Here is a 16,260-nt window from a genome sequence, read left to right on the forward strand (position 1 = left end):
CCACCTTGCACCCAATGAATCCGAATCTGCATTTGAACAAGATCCTCCAGGTGATTCGTACGCACCCATAGTCTGAGAAGTGCTATGGTTACCCGAGTCAAATCGTAAGCGCTAGTGCTTTTTTTGTTTTGTTTTGTTTTGTTTTTTTGAGACGGACTCCTGCTCTGTCACCCAGGCTGGAGTGCAGTGGCGTGATCTTGGCTCACTGCAACCTCTGCCTCCTGGGTTCAAGCGATTCCACTGCCTCAGCCTCCCGAGTAGCTGGGACTACAGGCATGCACCACCACGCCCGGCTAATTTTTTGTGTTTTAGTAGAGACGGGGTTTCACCATGTTGGCCAGGATGGTCTCGAACTCCTGACCTCATGATCCACCCGCCTTGGCCTCCCAAAGTGCTGGGATTACAGGCGTGAGCCACCGCACCCAGCCAAGCGCTTTTTTTCGTGGAGTCTTACTCTTGTCACCCAGGCTGGAGTGCAGTGGTCCCTATAGGGAGTAGGGATTATGTCTTATTGATCTCTATAGGGAGCTCTATAGGGAGCTTAGCATATATAGGGAGTAGGGATTATGCCTTATTGATCTCTATAGGGAGCTCTATAGGGAGCTTAGCATAATAGGTTCTCCACAAAGCTGCTTAAGTAGGTGAGAAATGACTTTCTGAGTGTGGACTCCTATACCTGCTCTTGGCCTCTTTTCCTACCCTTGGTATCTATCCCTGTACTTCATTGTTTTAATCAATATATTTATTTATTTGTTTGTTTTTGAGATGGAATTTCACTCTTGTTGCCCAGGCTGGAATGCAATGGCGCAATCTTGGCTCAACACAACCTCCGCCTCCCGGTTCAAGTGATTCTCCTACATCAGCCTCCCGAGTAGCTGGGATTACAGACACCTGCCACCACACCCGGCTAATTTTTGTATTTTTAGTAGAGATGGGGTTTCTTCATGTTGGTCAGGCTGGTCTCAAACTCCCGACCTCAGGTGATCCACCTGCCTCGGCCTCCCAAAGTGCTGGGATTACCGGTGTGAGCCACTGCACCTGGCCTATTTATTTTATTGTATTTATTTTATTTTATTTTATTTTATTTTAATTTTGAGATGGGGTCGCACTCTTTCACCCAGGCTGGAGTGCAAGGGAGTGATCACAGCTCACTGCAGCCTCAACCTCCTGGGCTCAAGCGTTCCTCCTACCTCAGCCTCTGGAGTAGCTGGGACCACAGGTGTGAGCAAACCACATCCAGCTAATTATTTATTTTTAAATTCTTTTTATTTTTTTGTAGAGATGGGGTCTCACTTTCTTGCCCAGGCTCATCTCAAACTCTTGTGCTCAAGTGATTCTCCCACCCGGGCCTCTCAAAGTGCTGGGATTATGGCGTGAGCCACCGCACCCAGCCTGCCCCTGCACTTTATTAGAGGCCCCAATTTTCTTTCTTTCTTTCTTCCTTTTTTTTCAGATGGAGTCTCACTCTGTCGCCCAGGCTGGAGTGCAGTGGCACGATCTTGGCTCACCACAACCTCCGCCTCCTGGGTTCACGCGATTCTCCTGCCTCAGCCTCCTGAGTAGCTGGAACTACAGGCGCACGCCACCATGCTGGGCTAATTTTTGTATTTTTACTAGAGTCGGGGTTTCACTATGTTGGCCAGGCTGGTCTTGAACTCCCGACCTTGTGATCCGCCCACCTCAGCCTCCCAAAGTGCTGGGATTACAGGCATGAGTCACCGCGCCTAGACTAGATGCTCCAATTTTCACTTCTTGACCTGACCAGGCACCTTTAAATGTCCACACTCAAGACCTGACTCTCTCAAGTGCCTGAAGTCAAAGACATCTTTTGTCCTTAAAAAACAAAATTCCTCCCATAGTCTGCAGTTGTGAAAGGTCCTGGCGGTCTGGACATGTACTCGCTGTTGATAGTCCTGTTGTATGTGTAGCTTTTGCTGGAAGGTCCTGGCGGTCTGGACACGTACTCGCTGTTGACAGTCCTGTTGTATGTGTAGCTTTTGTTGTGAGCTGCCTCAAATGCTTTTTTGGAAGTAGGTGTGGTATAAATAATAAATAAATGAGTGAATATCTGGAAGTGTGGCTGTTTTTATTTAATCATGGGAGAATGTGGTTACCTCTGCGATAAGTCCCTCTGGCTAAGAGTAAACAGGATGGCCCGGCCCCTGTCTAGAATCTAAAAGCTGCAGGCTGATACAGAGGACGGGCGTGGTAGGAGCTGGTTTGAGACTCGACCTTCCTTTTTGGTGCAGCTTGCTGGTTGTGTAGTAGGTGAGTTTCAGAGAGGAAAAGGTCTGAAGCCTCATCACTGCCATCAGAGCAACTGTCTGTGTGATGAAAGGATCCCTCTGCCTGGGCCTTATTTTCCGCAAGCGAATAACAAGGAATTTGGGTTAGATTGCCTCAAAAGGCCCTTTGAACTTGGCTGATGTGTGTGTTTTGAGGGAGAGGATCTGTGAGGTGCTTCCCAGAGTGAGGGTGGGGCTGACCGTGCAGGGCAGGGGGGACAGGAAATAGCACCCTGACCGCTTTCCTTCTCAACCACCTGAGGCCGTGGCCGTCTCACAGGAGCTGGGAAGGAGCTGATAAGAGGGCTTACTGGCCCCCTGCCATAAAAGGATGCAGTTCCCACTCTTGAAGCTGTTCTGTCCCGGGCAGGAGGCTCAGCAACAGAGAGCCCCTGACACCCCTGCTCTGTGCTTTTGGCTTGGGGGACTGTCCCCTCTGTGCTCCAAGTGGATTCAGTGGCCAGCCTCTTCCCCACCCAGCCTCAACCAGCACAGAGCAGCCAGGACAGGGCAGGCAGAGGGAGGAAAAGTTTGCAAAAGTGGGGTGCTTGGGGCACAGACAACCCTCAGGTGCCTGGGGGATCTGAGGGGGCTCCTAAGTGATGAGAAAGCAGCAGGGGAGGCCCCCCCCAGTGCCCTGGTCGAGGAGAAGAGGGGCTCACATTTGCTGTGCTGCCCAGGCTGTAGTGCAGTGGTATGACCACGGCTCACTGCAGCCTCCATCTCCCAGACTCAAGTGATCCTCCAGCCACAACCTCCTGAGTAGCTGGGACTACAGGCATGTGCCAAGATGCCTGGTTAATTTTTTATTTTAAGTGGAGATGGGGTCTTGCTCTCTTGCCCAGGCTGGTCTCAAACTCCTGGGCTCAAGCGATTCCCCAACCTCAGCTTCCCAAAGTGCTGGGATTGCCGGCATGAGCACCACATCCACCGCATCGCTGGCTTTGAAGATGAAGAAGGGAGCGACAAGCCAAGGAATACAGGTGATTGACTGCCTGTCATTAGCGCGGTGGCTCACGCCTGCCATTGCCTGTTGTCCCCGTCCTCTGTGGCCCTCTTGGCTTCTGTATCACTGTCACGCGTAGCAGGGCCAGGCTTGCTGAACTGAACCGAAGCAAGAAGACAAGGGAAGGGCTGTGGGAAGCGTCCATCATGAGGCTCCGTGTCCTCCTCCCAGGCCTCGCCTGGCCTCGCCTCAATTCACCTCGGGCAGCAGCTCAACATGTGGGATTTCAAGACTAAGCCTGAAGATCAGCCAGAAGCAAGCTCCTCACCCCTGACCTGGCCGTTCCCTTCCCCGAGGCTTTGTGGCCACAGTCCTAGAAGACGGAGACATGCTTTGGACTAGCCTCCAGGAGTCAGGGCCCTTCAACACCATTTTTTTTTTTTTTTGAGAGAGGATCTCACTATATTGCCCAGGCTGGCCTTGAACTCCTGCGCTCAAGAGATCCTCCCACACAGCCTCTCGAATAGTTGGGGCAACAGGTGCCCACGACCACACCAGCTCCGTCGCTCTTCTTGAATGTACCTGGAATCCTGGTCTGAACTGAGCGGTTGGCTGAACTTTCCTCTCTTTTTGCCTCTCTCCAGGCTGAGAGATGAGCCCTGCTAAGGAGCAGATTGCTCAGTTATAGAATATTTACAGTCTTGTATTGTAGAGAACAGTTCACAAAGCCCCTTCTGCTTATTTCATTTAGTTGCTGCCAGTCAGCAAGATGGATGCCATAATCATCATCTCCATGTCACAGCTGAGAAAACCAAGGCTCCGAGAGATCTGAGAAAACCAAGGCTCCTGGCTGGGCGTGGTGGCTCACACCTGTAATCCCAGCACTTTGGGAGGCCGAGGCGGGTGGATCAGGAGGTCAGATCGAGACCATCCTGGCTAACATGGTGGAACCCTGTCTCTACTAAAAATACAAAAAATTAGCTGGGCATGGTGGTTGGCGCCTGTAGTCCCAGCTACTTGGGAGGTTGAGGCAGGAGAATGGCGTGAACCTGGGAGGTGGAGCTGGCGGTGAGCTGAGATCGCGCCACTGCATTCCAGCCTGGGCGACAGAGCAAGACTCCATCTCAAAAAAAAGAAAAAAAGAAAAAAAAGAAAACCAAGGCTCTGAGAGATCTCAGAAAACCAAGGCTCAGAAAGATCTGAGAAAACCAAGGCTCTGAGAGATCTATTTTCTGTTGTTGCTGTAACAACTGAACACAAATCGAGCATCTTAAAACCACACAAATGGGGTGGGCACAGTGGCTCATGCCTGTAATCCCAGCACTTTGGGAGGCCGAGGCTGGTGGATCACTTGAGGTCAGGAGTTCAAGACCAACCTGGCCAACCTGGAAAAACCCCATCTCTACTAAAAATACAAAAATTAGCCAGGCGTGGTGGTGCACGCCTGTAGTGCAGTTACTCTGGAGGCTGAGGCAGGAGAATCGCTTGAACCCGGGAGGCAGAGGTTGCAGTGAGCTGAGATCACGCCATTGCACTCCAGCCTGGGTGACAAGAGCAAAACTCCATCTCAAACAAAACAAAACAAAAAACCCCACAAATGTATTAGGTCACAGTTCTGTGGGTGAGAGGTCCAGGCACAGCACGGCTCACTGCTTTACAAGACCAAAATCAAGGTATAGGCCAGGCTGCCTGCCTTTCTGGAGGTTCTGGGCATGAATCCGCTTCCAGTCCTGTGAGGGCTACTGGCAGAATTCAGTTGCGTGTGGTGTGGGACGAAGGGCTTGTTTCCTGCTGGCTGCCACCTGGGGGCCTTTCTCAGCTTCTAGAGGCCACCTGCAGCCCTTGGCTTGTGGCTCTGTTCCTTCCTCTCCAAAGCCAGCGATGGTGGCTGCTGCTCATGCTTCCAAGCTGTCTGGCATCCTTTGTGTCTTACGTCTCTTCTGCCTTTATCCAGAGCGAGTTTTCCACTTTTGAGGGCTCCCGTGATTAGACCGGGTCCACTGGGATAACCAAGGATAAAACCTCACTCACATTTGCAAAGTCCACTTTGCTGTGTGGTATAACACAGTCACAAGTTCTGGGAATTAGGGCACGGACATCCCTGGGGACCATGATTCCGCCTACCACAGAGTGGCTTCCAAACCTGTCGCTAAGCTCGTAAGTGGCAGAGGTGGAAGCTGAAGATCCTCTGGCTGCTGAACTCTTTCCACCACATCCCTGCTGCTTTGGGCCATCATTTACGTCAACCCAGCTGAGCCCAGGAAGAAGACCGTCTCGAGAGAGTATTTCTGCAGGCCCTCGGTCACCCGGACTGGCTCCTCACCCCCTGCGACTGTCCCAGAAGTTCTCTGGAAGTCAAAACTAATTGATACAAGATGGGGCTGAGGCAAGTCGAGGGCCTCTGCCTGTTTCTGTTGTAGAAGCCTCCAGGAAGGCCTCACATCGCCGGTAGATGTCCTGGGTACCGCGGAGTGCACTTCCTTTCCCGTCCAGATCGGGCAGGGTGAAAGAATGAGCTGGAGATTCCGAAATAAACCAGCATCCCTGACTGCGGCAGACACGGCCCCTCCAACGTCTGCCTCTGGTCCGCAGTAAAAGTATATTTATTCCTTCCCATCAGGAACTTCCCCCTATAAGCAGATTGGATGCTACATACCTTTCACTCATTCACGATTCATTCACTCATGATCGTACCCCTGCTTTGTGTGGGGCACATTCTAGACACTCCAGATCTATCAGTGAACAGAAGAGACAGGCCTCATGGAGCCTGCATTCTGGTTGTGGCAAGGAGAGGGTTGACAGTTATAAATAAACACAGTATATGAGTTAATGATGTCATATGTTAGAATAAGAGCTATTAAAAAAAAGAGAGGGTGACAGGATACGGGGATCAGGAGTGCTGGTGGGAATGCAGACGGCACTGTTAAACATGGGGGACAGCCGGGCGTGGTGGCTCAAGCCTGTAGTCCCAGCACTTTGGGAGGCCGAGGCAGGCGGATCGCCTGAGGTCAGGAGTTCGAGACCAGCCTGGCCAACATGGTGAAACCCCATCTCTACTAAAAATACAAAAAATTAGCTGGGTGTGGTGGTGGGCACCTGTAATCCCAGCTACTCAGGAGGCTGAGGCAGGAGAATTGCTTGAACCCGGGAGGTGGAGGTTACAGTGAGCCAATATCACACCATTGCACTCCAGCCTGGGTGACAAAAGCGAGACTCTGTCTCAAAAAATATATATACATATATGGGGGATAAGGTGTGTTTCACTGAGAAGATGAGGTTTGAACAAAAACTTGAAGGAGAGATGTAGCGAAATGGATACTTGAGGTGGGAGCATTCCACGTAGAGGGGGCAGCCATGCAAAGTCCCTGAGGCAGAAGCATGCTTGACATATTGGAGGAACAGCCAGGAGCCCAGTGGATTGGAGAGCACAGCCACTATAAGGACTTGGTTTGAGTGGAACAGGAAACCCGGGTGGGGCTTTGGATAAAGCAACGACTTGTCAAAAGTTCTTGAGTTTCCACGGAATGCTCACGCAGGGGGCAGGTGGAGCATCCTGGTCCTGCGGATTCTGCTGATAAACCGGAGGCAAGACGGATGGCTGGCTGGGCCAGGTGGAGGCTTTCTGGAATGTAGCCTTGGGAGAATTGTGGATGCTGAGGCAGGTGGGCCCTGGCCTCGGGTCAGCTCATAGATGAGGGAGCGGTTGCTGGGCCGTGCAGATTGGCTTGATATCGTAAACCAACTGGATGAGGACAGAGATTGATGCTCTCCAGGGTCTCACAAGCTGAGCCACAGAAACACCCCGGCATCCAAGCCAGGAGATGGGAACGACCGGCTCCCACATCAGAGAATCAGCAACAAGTCAAGCTTTGTGAGGGGGAATCCAGGTGAAACCGTGTAGGTTTCACCATAAGTTACCAGCTACGAAGCCAAGCAAAATCATGATTGTCCCGGTGGAGCTTTAAGTGAGGGAGACCCTGAGGGGTTTGTGTCGATTACTTTGGACATTAACAGGCCCTGCTGGATGGAAGTGGCACAGGGCCAGCTATGTCCAGTGTAAGATGTGGTGGAGGCGTTGCCATTCCCTTTGTCCCAGGTGCTGTCTTGATTATGTTGATCCACAAAAACCATGATTACAGGGGCTTTCAGAGTTTCTTTTTTTTTCTTTTGTAGAGACGGGCTCTTGCCATGTTGCCTAGGCTGGTCTCCAACTCTTGGGCTCAAGAGATCCTCCCACCTTGGCCTCTCAAAGTGCTGGGATTCCAGGCGCGAGCCACCATGCCCAGCTCCGAGTTCCAACCCCAGCTTTCTGTCTTGCCCCTCCAAGCGCCCTTCCCCATGGGAAACTCTTTTTGTGCTCCGCGGATAAGAAGCTCTTCTTCCTTGAGGGTTTCAGGACAGAGGACACTGGGGAGAAGATACCTGTGTCTCTACTGGGCAGCTGCTCCAGTCAGTGGTGTCTGGTGGGGCCAAAGCCCTGCCTGGAGAGCAGAGAGCTGGACCCAACAGATGAACCTCCTGGGAAGCTGCATTCTTGATGGTAAATGAAGAGATCAGAACCTCACAGGGAGGAAACAGGCAATGCCAATGACACCTACATCTATGGCTTGAAGTGCAGAGAGAAAAGCACAGAAGAAAATATACTAAAACATGAGCAAGTTATATTTCCAGGGTGGGGGTTTATTGGTAATATTTTTTCCTTCCTTATAATTCATATGTATTCCAAGTATATATTTTTCCTATATCTCAAGTGCTCTGTAATGAGAGGAAAACAATGAAATTATTATATTTATAATTATAGTGGCAGAAAACGTAACTTGGTGTAAAGAAGAACTCCCTGAATGAATGGGGACTGACAAAAAAGGGGTCACCGGCCGGGCACAGTGGCTCACACCTGTGATCCCAGCCCTTTGGGAGGCTGAGATGAGAGGATCGCTTGAGGTCAGGAGTTGGAGACCAGCTGGGATAACACAGTAGACTCTCTCTCTCTCTCTTTTTTTTTTTTATGGAGTCTCTCTTTATTACCCAGGCTTGAGGGCAGCGGCACAATCTCGGCCCACTGCAACCTCCATCTACCAGGATCAAGTGATTCTCCTGCTTCAGCCTCCCGAGTAGCTGGGATTACAGGTGCACATCACCACATCTGGCTGATTTTTGTATTTTTAGTAGAGATGGGGTTTCACCATGTCGGCCAGGATGGTCTTGAACTTTTGACCTCAAGTGATCTGCCTGCCTCGGCCTCCCAAAGTGCTGGGATTACAGGCGTGAGCCCCCGTGCCCGGCCCAGACCATGTCTCTCTAATTTTTTTTTAAATGAGTCTTCAGTGAGGAGGCTCTGCCACCTCTCCGTCCTTGAGAGGGACACACACTGCAGTGCCTGGGAGGACTGGCACATGCTTAGAGGCCTGGGGGAGAGTGGTTCATCTCTCTTTAAAATTATTTTACTGTATTTTATTTTTTTAGAGACAAGGTCTCACTGTGTTGCCAAGGTTGGTCTCGAACTCCTGGGCTCAAGGGATCCACCCACCTCAGCCTCTCAGAGTGCTGGGATTACGGGCATGAGCCACAGTGCCTGGCCCATTTTTATCTATTTATTTATTTATTTTTATTATTTATTTATTTATTTATTGAGACAGACTTTTGCTCTTGTCGCCCAGGCTGGAGTGCAATGGCGCCGACCTCAGCTCACTGCAACCTCCACCTCCTGGGTTCATGGATTCTCCTGCCTCAGCCTCCGGAGTAGTTGGGATTACAGGCGTGCGCCCCCACGCCCAGCTAATTTTTATATTTTTAGTAGAGGCAGGGTTTTACCATATTGGTCAGGCTGGTCTCAAACTCCTGACCTCAGGAGATCCACCTGCCTCGGCCTCCCAAAGTGCTGGGATTACAGGCATGAGCCACTGTGCCCGGCCATTTTTTAATGTTTTTATAGAGTCAGGGTCTCACTATGTTGCCCAAGCTGGTCTCAAACTTCTGGGCTCAAGCGATCCTCCTGCCTTGGCCTCCCGAAGTGTTGGGATTAGAGGCGTGAGCCACCGCCCCCAGCCAAGTATGTCTATAACTGGGGAAGCCTAAACCATGAGCCACTGACTGTCTGTTCCCGGCAAAGTCCAGACGCTGAAGCTGTGAAAAGTCGGCTGGAATGAGCTCGGAGGCCCCTCCAGCATGGATCCTCTCGTTCCGGGTTCCCTGTGGGGTCAGGGCTACGGCCAAGATCTCTCACTCCAGATCCTCTGACTGTGTCCCAGTGCCCTGGTCACTGCTCTTCTGGGTTTGAAGGGTCTTGAGTGTTTTCATGGCCTCTTGTCAATAGAAGTATATTTTCTGCCCTTTCCCAGACTGTCCCAGGAGAGACTTCTCTGCCCTCTTCTCCTTCTGAAACAGTCCTGTGCGTCCCTACTCTGCTCAGCTTCATCCCAATAACTCAGGAAGCAGGAAACACTCAGGAAGGGCTTACTCAGCACTAAGCCCTGGGAAATAGAGGCGAGCAAGACAAGGTCCCCATCCTTATGGAACTTACTCGTAACGAAGAGAATTTCAAACGGTGAAAAATGTATGCGAAGCACCGGGGAGATAGGACAGTGAGTGGCTGTGCAGAGATACTCTAAATACATGGCCCAGCTCATCCTCTCTGAGCAGGTGACATTGGAATCAAGAATTTCATTTGCTGAGCACGGTGGCCCACACCTGTAATCCCAGCACTTTGGGAGGCTGAGGTGGGAGGATCACTTGAGCCCAGGAGTTCCAGACGAGCCTGGGCAACATGGAGAAACCTTGTCTGTACAAAAGATACAAAAATTAGGCCGGGCACAGTGGCTCATGCCTGTAATCCCAGCACTTTGTGAGGCCAAGGTGGGTGAATCACCTGAACTCAGGAGTTTGAGACCAGCCTGGCCAACATGGTGAAACCCCGTCTCTACTAAAAATACAAACATTAGTCGGGTGTGGTGGTGGGTGCCTGTAATCCCAGCTACTCGGGAGGCTGAGGCGGGAAAATCGCTTGAATCCAGGAGTCGGAGGTTGCAGTGAGCCGAGATCGTGCCACTGCACTCCAGCCTGGGCAAAGAGTGAGACCCCATCTAAAAAAAAAAAAAAATTAGCCGGGCGTGGTAGTGTGCACCTGTACTCCCAGCTACTCCTGAGGCTGAGGTGGGAGGACCCCCTGAGCCCAGGAGGTTGAGGCTGCAGTGAGCTGTGATCACACCACTGCACTCCAACCTGGGTAACAGTGAGACTGTCTCAAATAAAAAGAAAGGATATTTCATGATACTTCTCTGTTGATGTGTGTCCCTCCCTTTGTCTGATGGGGTCTGTGTCTTAGTACACATATCTCAGAGGTCGCATAGTGCCTGGTACATAGACAGAGCTTGCAGATGTGAATTGAATGCATGGATGGACAGTGAGACCGTGGAGGGGATGGTCCAACCATCCTCTGCACTGTTCAGACCCATGAGGAGCTCTGAGTCCAGGTCCAGGGAGGCAGATTCCTCCCCAGAACCCCTCGACTTATCACCGAAGAGTGCATAGGAGACTGGAGAGGTTGAAGAGCTTGCCCCACTGCACAGCCAGCTGGGCGGCATAGCTCCCTGGTGAGCTCAGCACAGCAGTGGGAAACAGAGGTGAAGGGCAGAGCCTTGAACTTGGCTGTGTTCTCTACCCACTGTGTGACCTCAGGCAACTCACCCAGCTCTCCAGCTTTGAGAGTTGGGTAACTTGCCCGACTCTCATTGGGCACCTACCTCATTGAGTTCTGTAAGGATTAAATCGAGATAAAATATGTAAAGAACTCAGCAGGCAGGTGGGCTGAGAAAAAGGGAGCAGCCAGCATGTCTGTTTCTGCAGTGCCTCAGGCACCAGGGCCTGCCAGTGGCCACAGAAATGGAGTTGACCTCACCGGCTCCCTTCCAGTCTCCCAGGCTGTGGGGCAGTGACAACCCCAAGCAGGAGGCTGGAGGCACAGACTTCCAAGAAGGAGGAGACGAGGCATGCTGGTACATTTTCCACCTTACTCCAACCCTTCACCCACATCCTGACTTCTTCAAAAGAATTATTGTATAAACAATATAAAGGCATTAAAAAAAACTGCAAAGGAAAAACGAACCACCTATGATCTCAGCATTCGAGCCCAACAAGGTTGTTTTCTTCCTGTCTAGTTCTTCCAGCTTGTCCAGGCATGTACATATTTTATTTCGCTGTAGTCAGAGTCATTATTTATTTTTTGCTTGTGTAATATTTTTATCATAAATGTTCATTCACAATCCTGTAGTCTTCATAAGTAGAATTTTTTTTTTCCCCCTTCAGGACAGAGTGTTGCTCTCGTCGCCCAGGCTGGAGGGCAATGGCGCAATCTCGGCTCACTGCCACCTCCGCCTCCCGGGTTCAAGGGATTCTCCTGCCTCAGCCTCCCAGTAGCTGGAACTACAGGCGTGCACCACCCCATGCCCATCTAATTTTTGTATTTTTAGTACAGACAGGGTTTCGCCATATTGGCCAGGCTGGTCTCAGACTCCTGGCCTCAGGTGATCCACCTGCCTCGGCTTTCCAAAGTGCTGGATGACAGGCGTGAGCCACTGCGCCTGGCCCATAAGTAGAATTTTTAATGGCAACCTGATATGCCACCAAGCTGATGCGCCATCAGTTATTTCTTCATTATTCTCTTGCTGGATATTTTCTTCTTTTTGCTGTTGAAGGACAACATATTTATACATAATTTTAATTTATTTACTTACTTATTTTTGAGACGGAGTCTCAGTGTATTGCCCAGGCTGATGTGCAGTGGAGTGATCTCGGCTCACTGCAACCTCCACCTCCTGGGTTCAAGCGATTCTCATGCTTCAGCCTCCTGAGTAGCTGGGACCACAGGCATGTGCCTTCACACCCAGCTAATTTTTGTATTTTTACCAGATAAACGGTTTCACCATGTTGGTCAGGCTGGTCTCGAACTCCTGGCCTCAAGCGATCCACCTGTGTTGGCCTCCCAAAGTGCTGGGATTATAGGCGTGAGCCACCGCACCCGGCCCCAAATTCTTTATGGCTACATTGCTCCCCAGAGTGGAATAATTTACACTTTTCTAGCAGCATGTGAGTACCTTCCAACCAACTCGGCACGGGCTTTTGTGCTGTTGATATGGTTGCATCTTGTCAGTTTCATCTGGTACAGTGTGGTGTTATTCACTGTTGAACTTCCTCTCGAATAAAATTTAGTTCATATTTTTTGCTCATTATCAGTTTTTGTTTTTGTTTGAGACAGGGTCTGGTTCTGTTGCCAGGATGGAGTGCTACGGTGCGATCTCAGCTCACCGCAGCCTTGATCTCTCAGGCTCAAGTAATCCTCCTACCTTAGCCTTCTGGGTAACTAGGACTACAGGCATGTGTCACCAGGCCTAGGTAATTTAAAAAAAAAATGTGGCCAGGCATGGTGGCTCACGCCTGTAATCCCAGCACTTTGGGAGGCTGAGGCGGGCAGATCATAAGGTCAGGAGATCGAGACCATCCTGGCCAACATGGTGAAAACCTGTTTCTACTAAAAATACAAAAATTAGCTGAGCATGGTGGCACATGCCTGTAGTCCCAGCTACTTGGGAGGCTGAGGCAGGAGAATTGCTTGAACCCGGGAGGCAGAGGTTGTAGTGAGCCAAGATCACACCACTGCACTCCAGCCTGGGCAACAAGAGCAAAACTCCGTCCCCAAAAAAAAAAAAAAATGTTTAGTAGAGACGAGGTCTCATTATGTTGCCCAGTCTGGCCTCAAACTCCTGAGCTCAAGTTGATCCTCCCACTTCAGCCTCCCAAAGTGCTGGGATTACAGGTCTGAGCTACCATACCTGGCCTAGCTTATCAGTCTTATTAGCTATTTATGAACCTTGTCTTTTGTCATTATTTGCTGCAAGCTCTTCCTCCAAATCTTTTTCTTTTTCAAAATTATATTTTTAAAAAGTTATAAAAGCAATACATGTTTATGGTAGAAAATCTGAAAAATAGAGAAAAAGTCATAAAATATATGCCACCACTTAAAATTAACCTTTATTATCCTGTTTGTCTGTCTGTTTTTGAGACAGGGTCTGGCACCGTCCCCCAAGCTGGAGTGTTGTGAGTGTGGTTCCCAGCAGCCTTGAGCTCCTGGGCTCAACGATCCTCTGGCATGAGCCGCTGTGCCTGGTGTTATTATCCTGTTTCAAAACCAGCTGTGAAAAGATAATTTGACCCTATTGGGAAATGAAGATATGGACTGGTTGTTGGATGATACTGAGGAATTTTTGTTAGTTTTGTTGAGGGCGTAATAGCAGGGTAGATGTATGTTTTCAAAATCCCTTATCAGTTTACATGCTCACTGGAATATTTACAGGAAAATTCATGTGACGTCTTGGCTTTGCTTTTAAAAACTCCAGCACACACACAAAAATAAATAAATGATTGGGGAAAATTAGATAAAACCAAATTGGCAGTATTTGTTGATACTAGATGATGGATATATGAGTATTCATTTCATTGTTCTCTCTACTTTTACGTACATTTGAAGTTTTCTGTGACTTACGTTTAAAAGTTATCTTCTCAGGAGGACTCCCAGGCTTAGCTTGCCTAAAATTCCAATCCCATCTCCTTGGCTGACTTTCATACTCCTCACTCCTGCTTTGTTTTTCCTCCTTAGCATTTCATCACGACCTGCCACGCTAAACGCGTTCTTAGGTATCTGGTCATCTTGGCTTCTTACCTCTCCCCAACTGGAATGTGAACTCCCTCAGGAAGGAATTTTACTGTTTTCTTCCCGCCCTTGCTATCAACAGTGCCTGAGTATTCAAATCATTATCACATGAAAAACAAACTCACTGTTAACATTTTTCTTCGGTTTTTTGTTTTTTTCTGAGACAGGCTCTCACTCTGTCACCCAGGCTGGAGTACAATGGCATGATCTCGGCTCACTGCAGCCTCAACCTCACAGGCTCAAGAGATCCTCCCACCTCAGCCTCCTGAATAGCTGGGATTGTAAGCACGCATCGCAATATTCGGCTAATTGTTATTTTCTGTAAAGACAGGGTGTCACTCTGTTGCCCAGGCAGGAGTGCAGTGGTGCCATCACGACTCACTGCAGCCTCAACCTCCGAGGCTCAAGCGATCCTCCCACCCCAGCCTCCCACCTCAGACTGTAGTCATGAGCCACCATGCCCAGCCAATAAAAACTTTAAAAGACCTTTCTAAACCATCAAGGTTGGAGGCATTAAGGATTTTTGTTGTTGTTACTGCTCATTTCTTTTTTCTTTTTTCTTTTTTTTTGAGACAGAGTCTCACCCTGCCCCCCAGGCTGGAATACAGTAGAGCGATCTCAGCTCACTGCAACCTCTGCCTCCTGGGTTCAAGTGATTCTCCCGCCTCAGCCTCCCAAGTAGCTGGGATTACAGGTGCCCACCACCATCCCCGGCTAATTTTTGTATTTTTAGTAGAGACGGGGTTTCACCATGTTTGCCAGGCTGGTCTCGAACTCCTGACGTCAAGTGATCCACCTACCTCGGCCTCCCAAAGTGCTGGGTTTACAGTCCTGAGCCACGGCGCCCGACCATCATTTCTTAACGAGCATACATTAAAATTTCCAGGCAGTCAAACTTAGTGACTGCTTTACAAACATGAAATATCACACCAATATTTAAAGAAATGAGCAAAACCTGTTTTTAAAAATTTACACACACCAAAAACGACATGGAAAACCTAGGCCCACTTTTAGGATCGCCCTCTAGACAAAACAAATAAGGAAAGGCTAATCTTTGAGGAAAATATCCTATAAAATATACCTGAGGGGAGAAAGCCCCTATCATGAAGAAATGGTTAGAGCTATTCTGTTTCCCTTGTGGTACTTTTATCACTCTTTAAGAGAATCCATCACAGGCCTTCAATCTCTAGCCAGCCTAGACACAGATGTGCGTGGGCCGACCCAGCAAGGGGCAGGAGGAAAACCCCTCTGCTTCCTGTCCCCGGCTTCTCCCACTTACTCCCCCGCCCCCCACCTCTGCCCGTCTAATGGTTCCCTGGGCCGACTCGGTCGCCCTGCCAGCCTGTCCTCCTTCACTCAGGCACACACTGTTTCCACGCCCGGGAGCCTGGCTCACTTGCAGAGCTATAAAAACAGACATCCACCAGGCACGGTGGCTCACGCCTATAATCCCAGCACTTTGGGAGGCCAAGATGGGTGGATCACCTGAGGTTAGGGGTTCGAGACCAGCCTGGCCAACATGGTGAAACCCCATTTCTACTAAAAATACAAAAAACTAGCCTGGCATCATGTCATGCGTCTGTAATCCCAGCTACTTGGGAGACTGAGGCAGGGGAATCGCTTGAACCCGGGAGGCAGAGGTTGCAGTGAACCGAGATCACACCACTGCACTCCAGCCTGGGCAACAAGAGCAAAACTCCATCTCAAAAAAAAAAAAACAAAACAAAAACACTCAGACATCAGGCTGGCCGCCGTGGCTCATGCCTACAATCCCAGCACTTTGGGAGGCCGAGGCAGGGAGGATCCCTTAAGCCCAGGAGTTCAAGATCAGCCTGGGCAACACGGCGAGGCCCCGTCTCTACTAAAAATACAACAAAATTAGCTAGGTGCAGTGGTGCTTGTGGTGGTCTCAGCTACTTGGGAGGCTGAGGTGGGAGGATCACTTGAGCCCAGAAGGCAGACAGAGGTTGCAGCACTGCACTCCAGCCTCGGTGACAGAGTGTGACTCCAAGTCACAGGAAAACCCAACAAAACACAGACGCCGCCCCCACCTGCTTTGCCCGACTCTGCAGAGTCCCACCCGGATGATCTGGGGGAGGGAAGGAGTTTGTCTTTTTCGAAGCCCTCTGTGGTTTTCGGATGAGCGGATTTAGGGACAGTCTGCACATGTCTTTCACTCCTGCTATGGACCCCAGAACCCACCACAGTGCCTGGCTAAATTGCACGTGCTTAAATAAATATGGAACAAATGAACCAACTGACCTCTTTTGATGTTCCCAGCCATTCTGTGAGGCAGAGGATCAAATGGGTATTATTGTCCCCATTTG

General features: G+C 49.9%; 5 annotated features.

Annotated features, from left to right (window-relative positions):
* Positions 981 to 1,482: an enhancer, noted in NCBI's record as "H3K27ac hESC enhancer chr3:195853055-195853556 (GRCh37/hg19 assembly coordinates)". NCBI's record gives its function as "activates a minimal SCP1, AML or CMV promoter by ChIP-STARR-seq in primed H9 embryonic stem cells {active_cell/tissue: H9 hESC(primed)}" and the evidence as "EXISTENCE:reporter gene assay evidence [ECO:0000049][PMID:30033119]".
* Positions 9,218 to 9,377: a silencer, noted in NCBI's record as "fragment chr3:195861292-195861451 (GRCh37/hg19 assembly coordinates)". NCBI's record gives its function as "represses an EF-1alpha promoter that drives an FKBP-Casp9 reporter gene in an ReSE screen in HepG2 liver carcinoma cells {active_cell/tissue: HepG2}" and the evidence as "EXISTENCE:reporter gene assay evidence [ECO:0000049][PMID:32094911]".
* Positions 10,547 to 11,347: an enhancer, noted in NCBI's record as "H3K4me1 hESC enhancer chr3:195862621-195863421 (GRCh37/hg19 assembly coordinates)". NCBI's record gives its function as "activates a minimal SCP1, AML or CMV promoter by ChIP-STARR-seq in primed H9 embryonic stem cells {active_cell/tissue: H9 hESC(primed)}" and the evidence as "EXISTENCE:reporter gene assay evidence [ECO:0000049][PMID:30033119]".
* Positions 15,237 to 15,286: an enhancer, noted in NCBI's record as "active region_21066". NCBI's record gives its function as "activates an Ori minimal core promoter by ATAC-STARR-seq in GM12878 lymphoblastoid cells {active_cell/tissue: GM12878}" and the evidence as "EXISTENCE:reporter gene assay evidence [ECO:0000049][PMID:35858748]".
* Positions 15,337 to 15,396: an enhancer, noted in NCBI's record as "active region_21067". NCBI's record gives its function as "activates an Ori minimal core promoter by ATAC-STARR-seq in GM12878 lymphoblastoid cells {active_cell/tissue: GM12878}" and the evidence as "EXISTENCE:reporter gene assay evidence [ECO:0000049][PMID:35858748]".

The sequence above is a fragment of the Homo sapiens genome, chromosome 3 (assembly GCF_000001405.40).
Source record: "Homo sapiens chromosome 3, GRCh38.p14 Primary Assembly".
In the NCBI taxonomy this organism is placed as follows: Eukaryota; Metazoa; Chordata; class Mammalia; order Primates; family Hominidae; genus Homo; species Homo sapiens.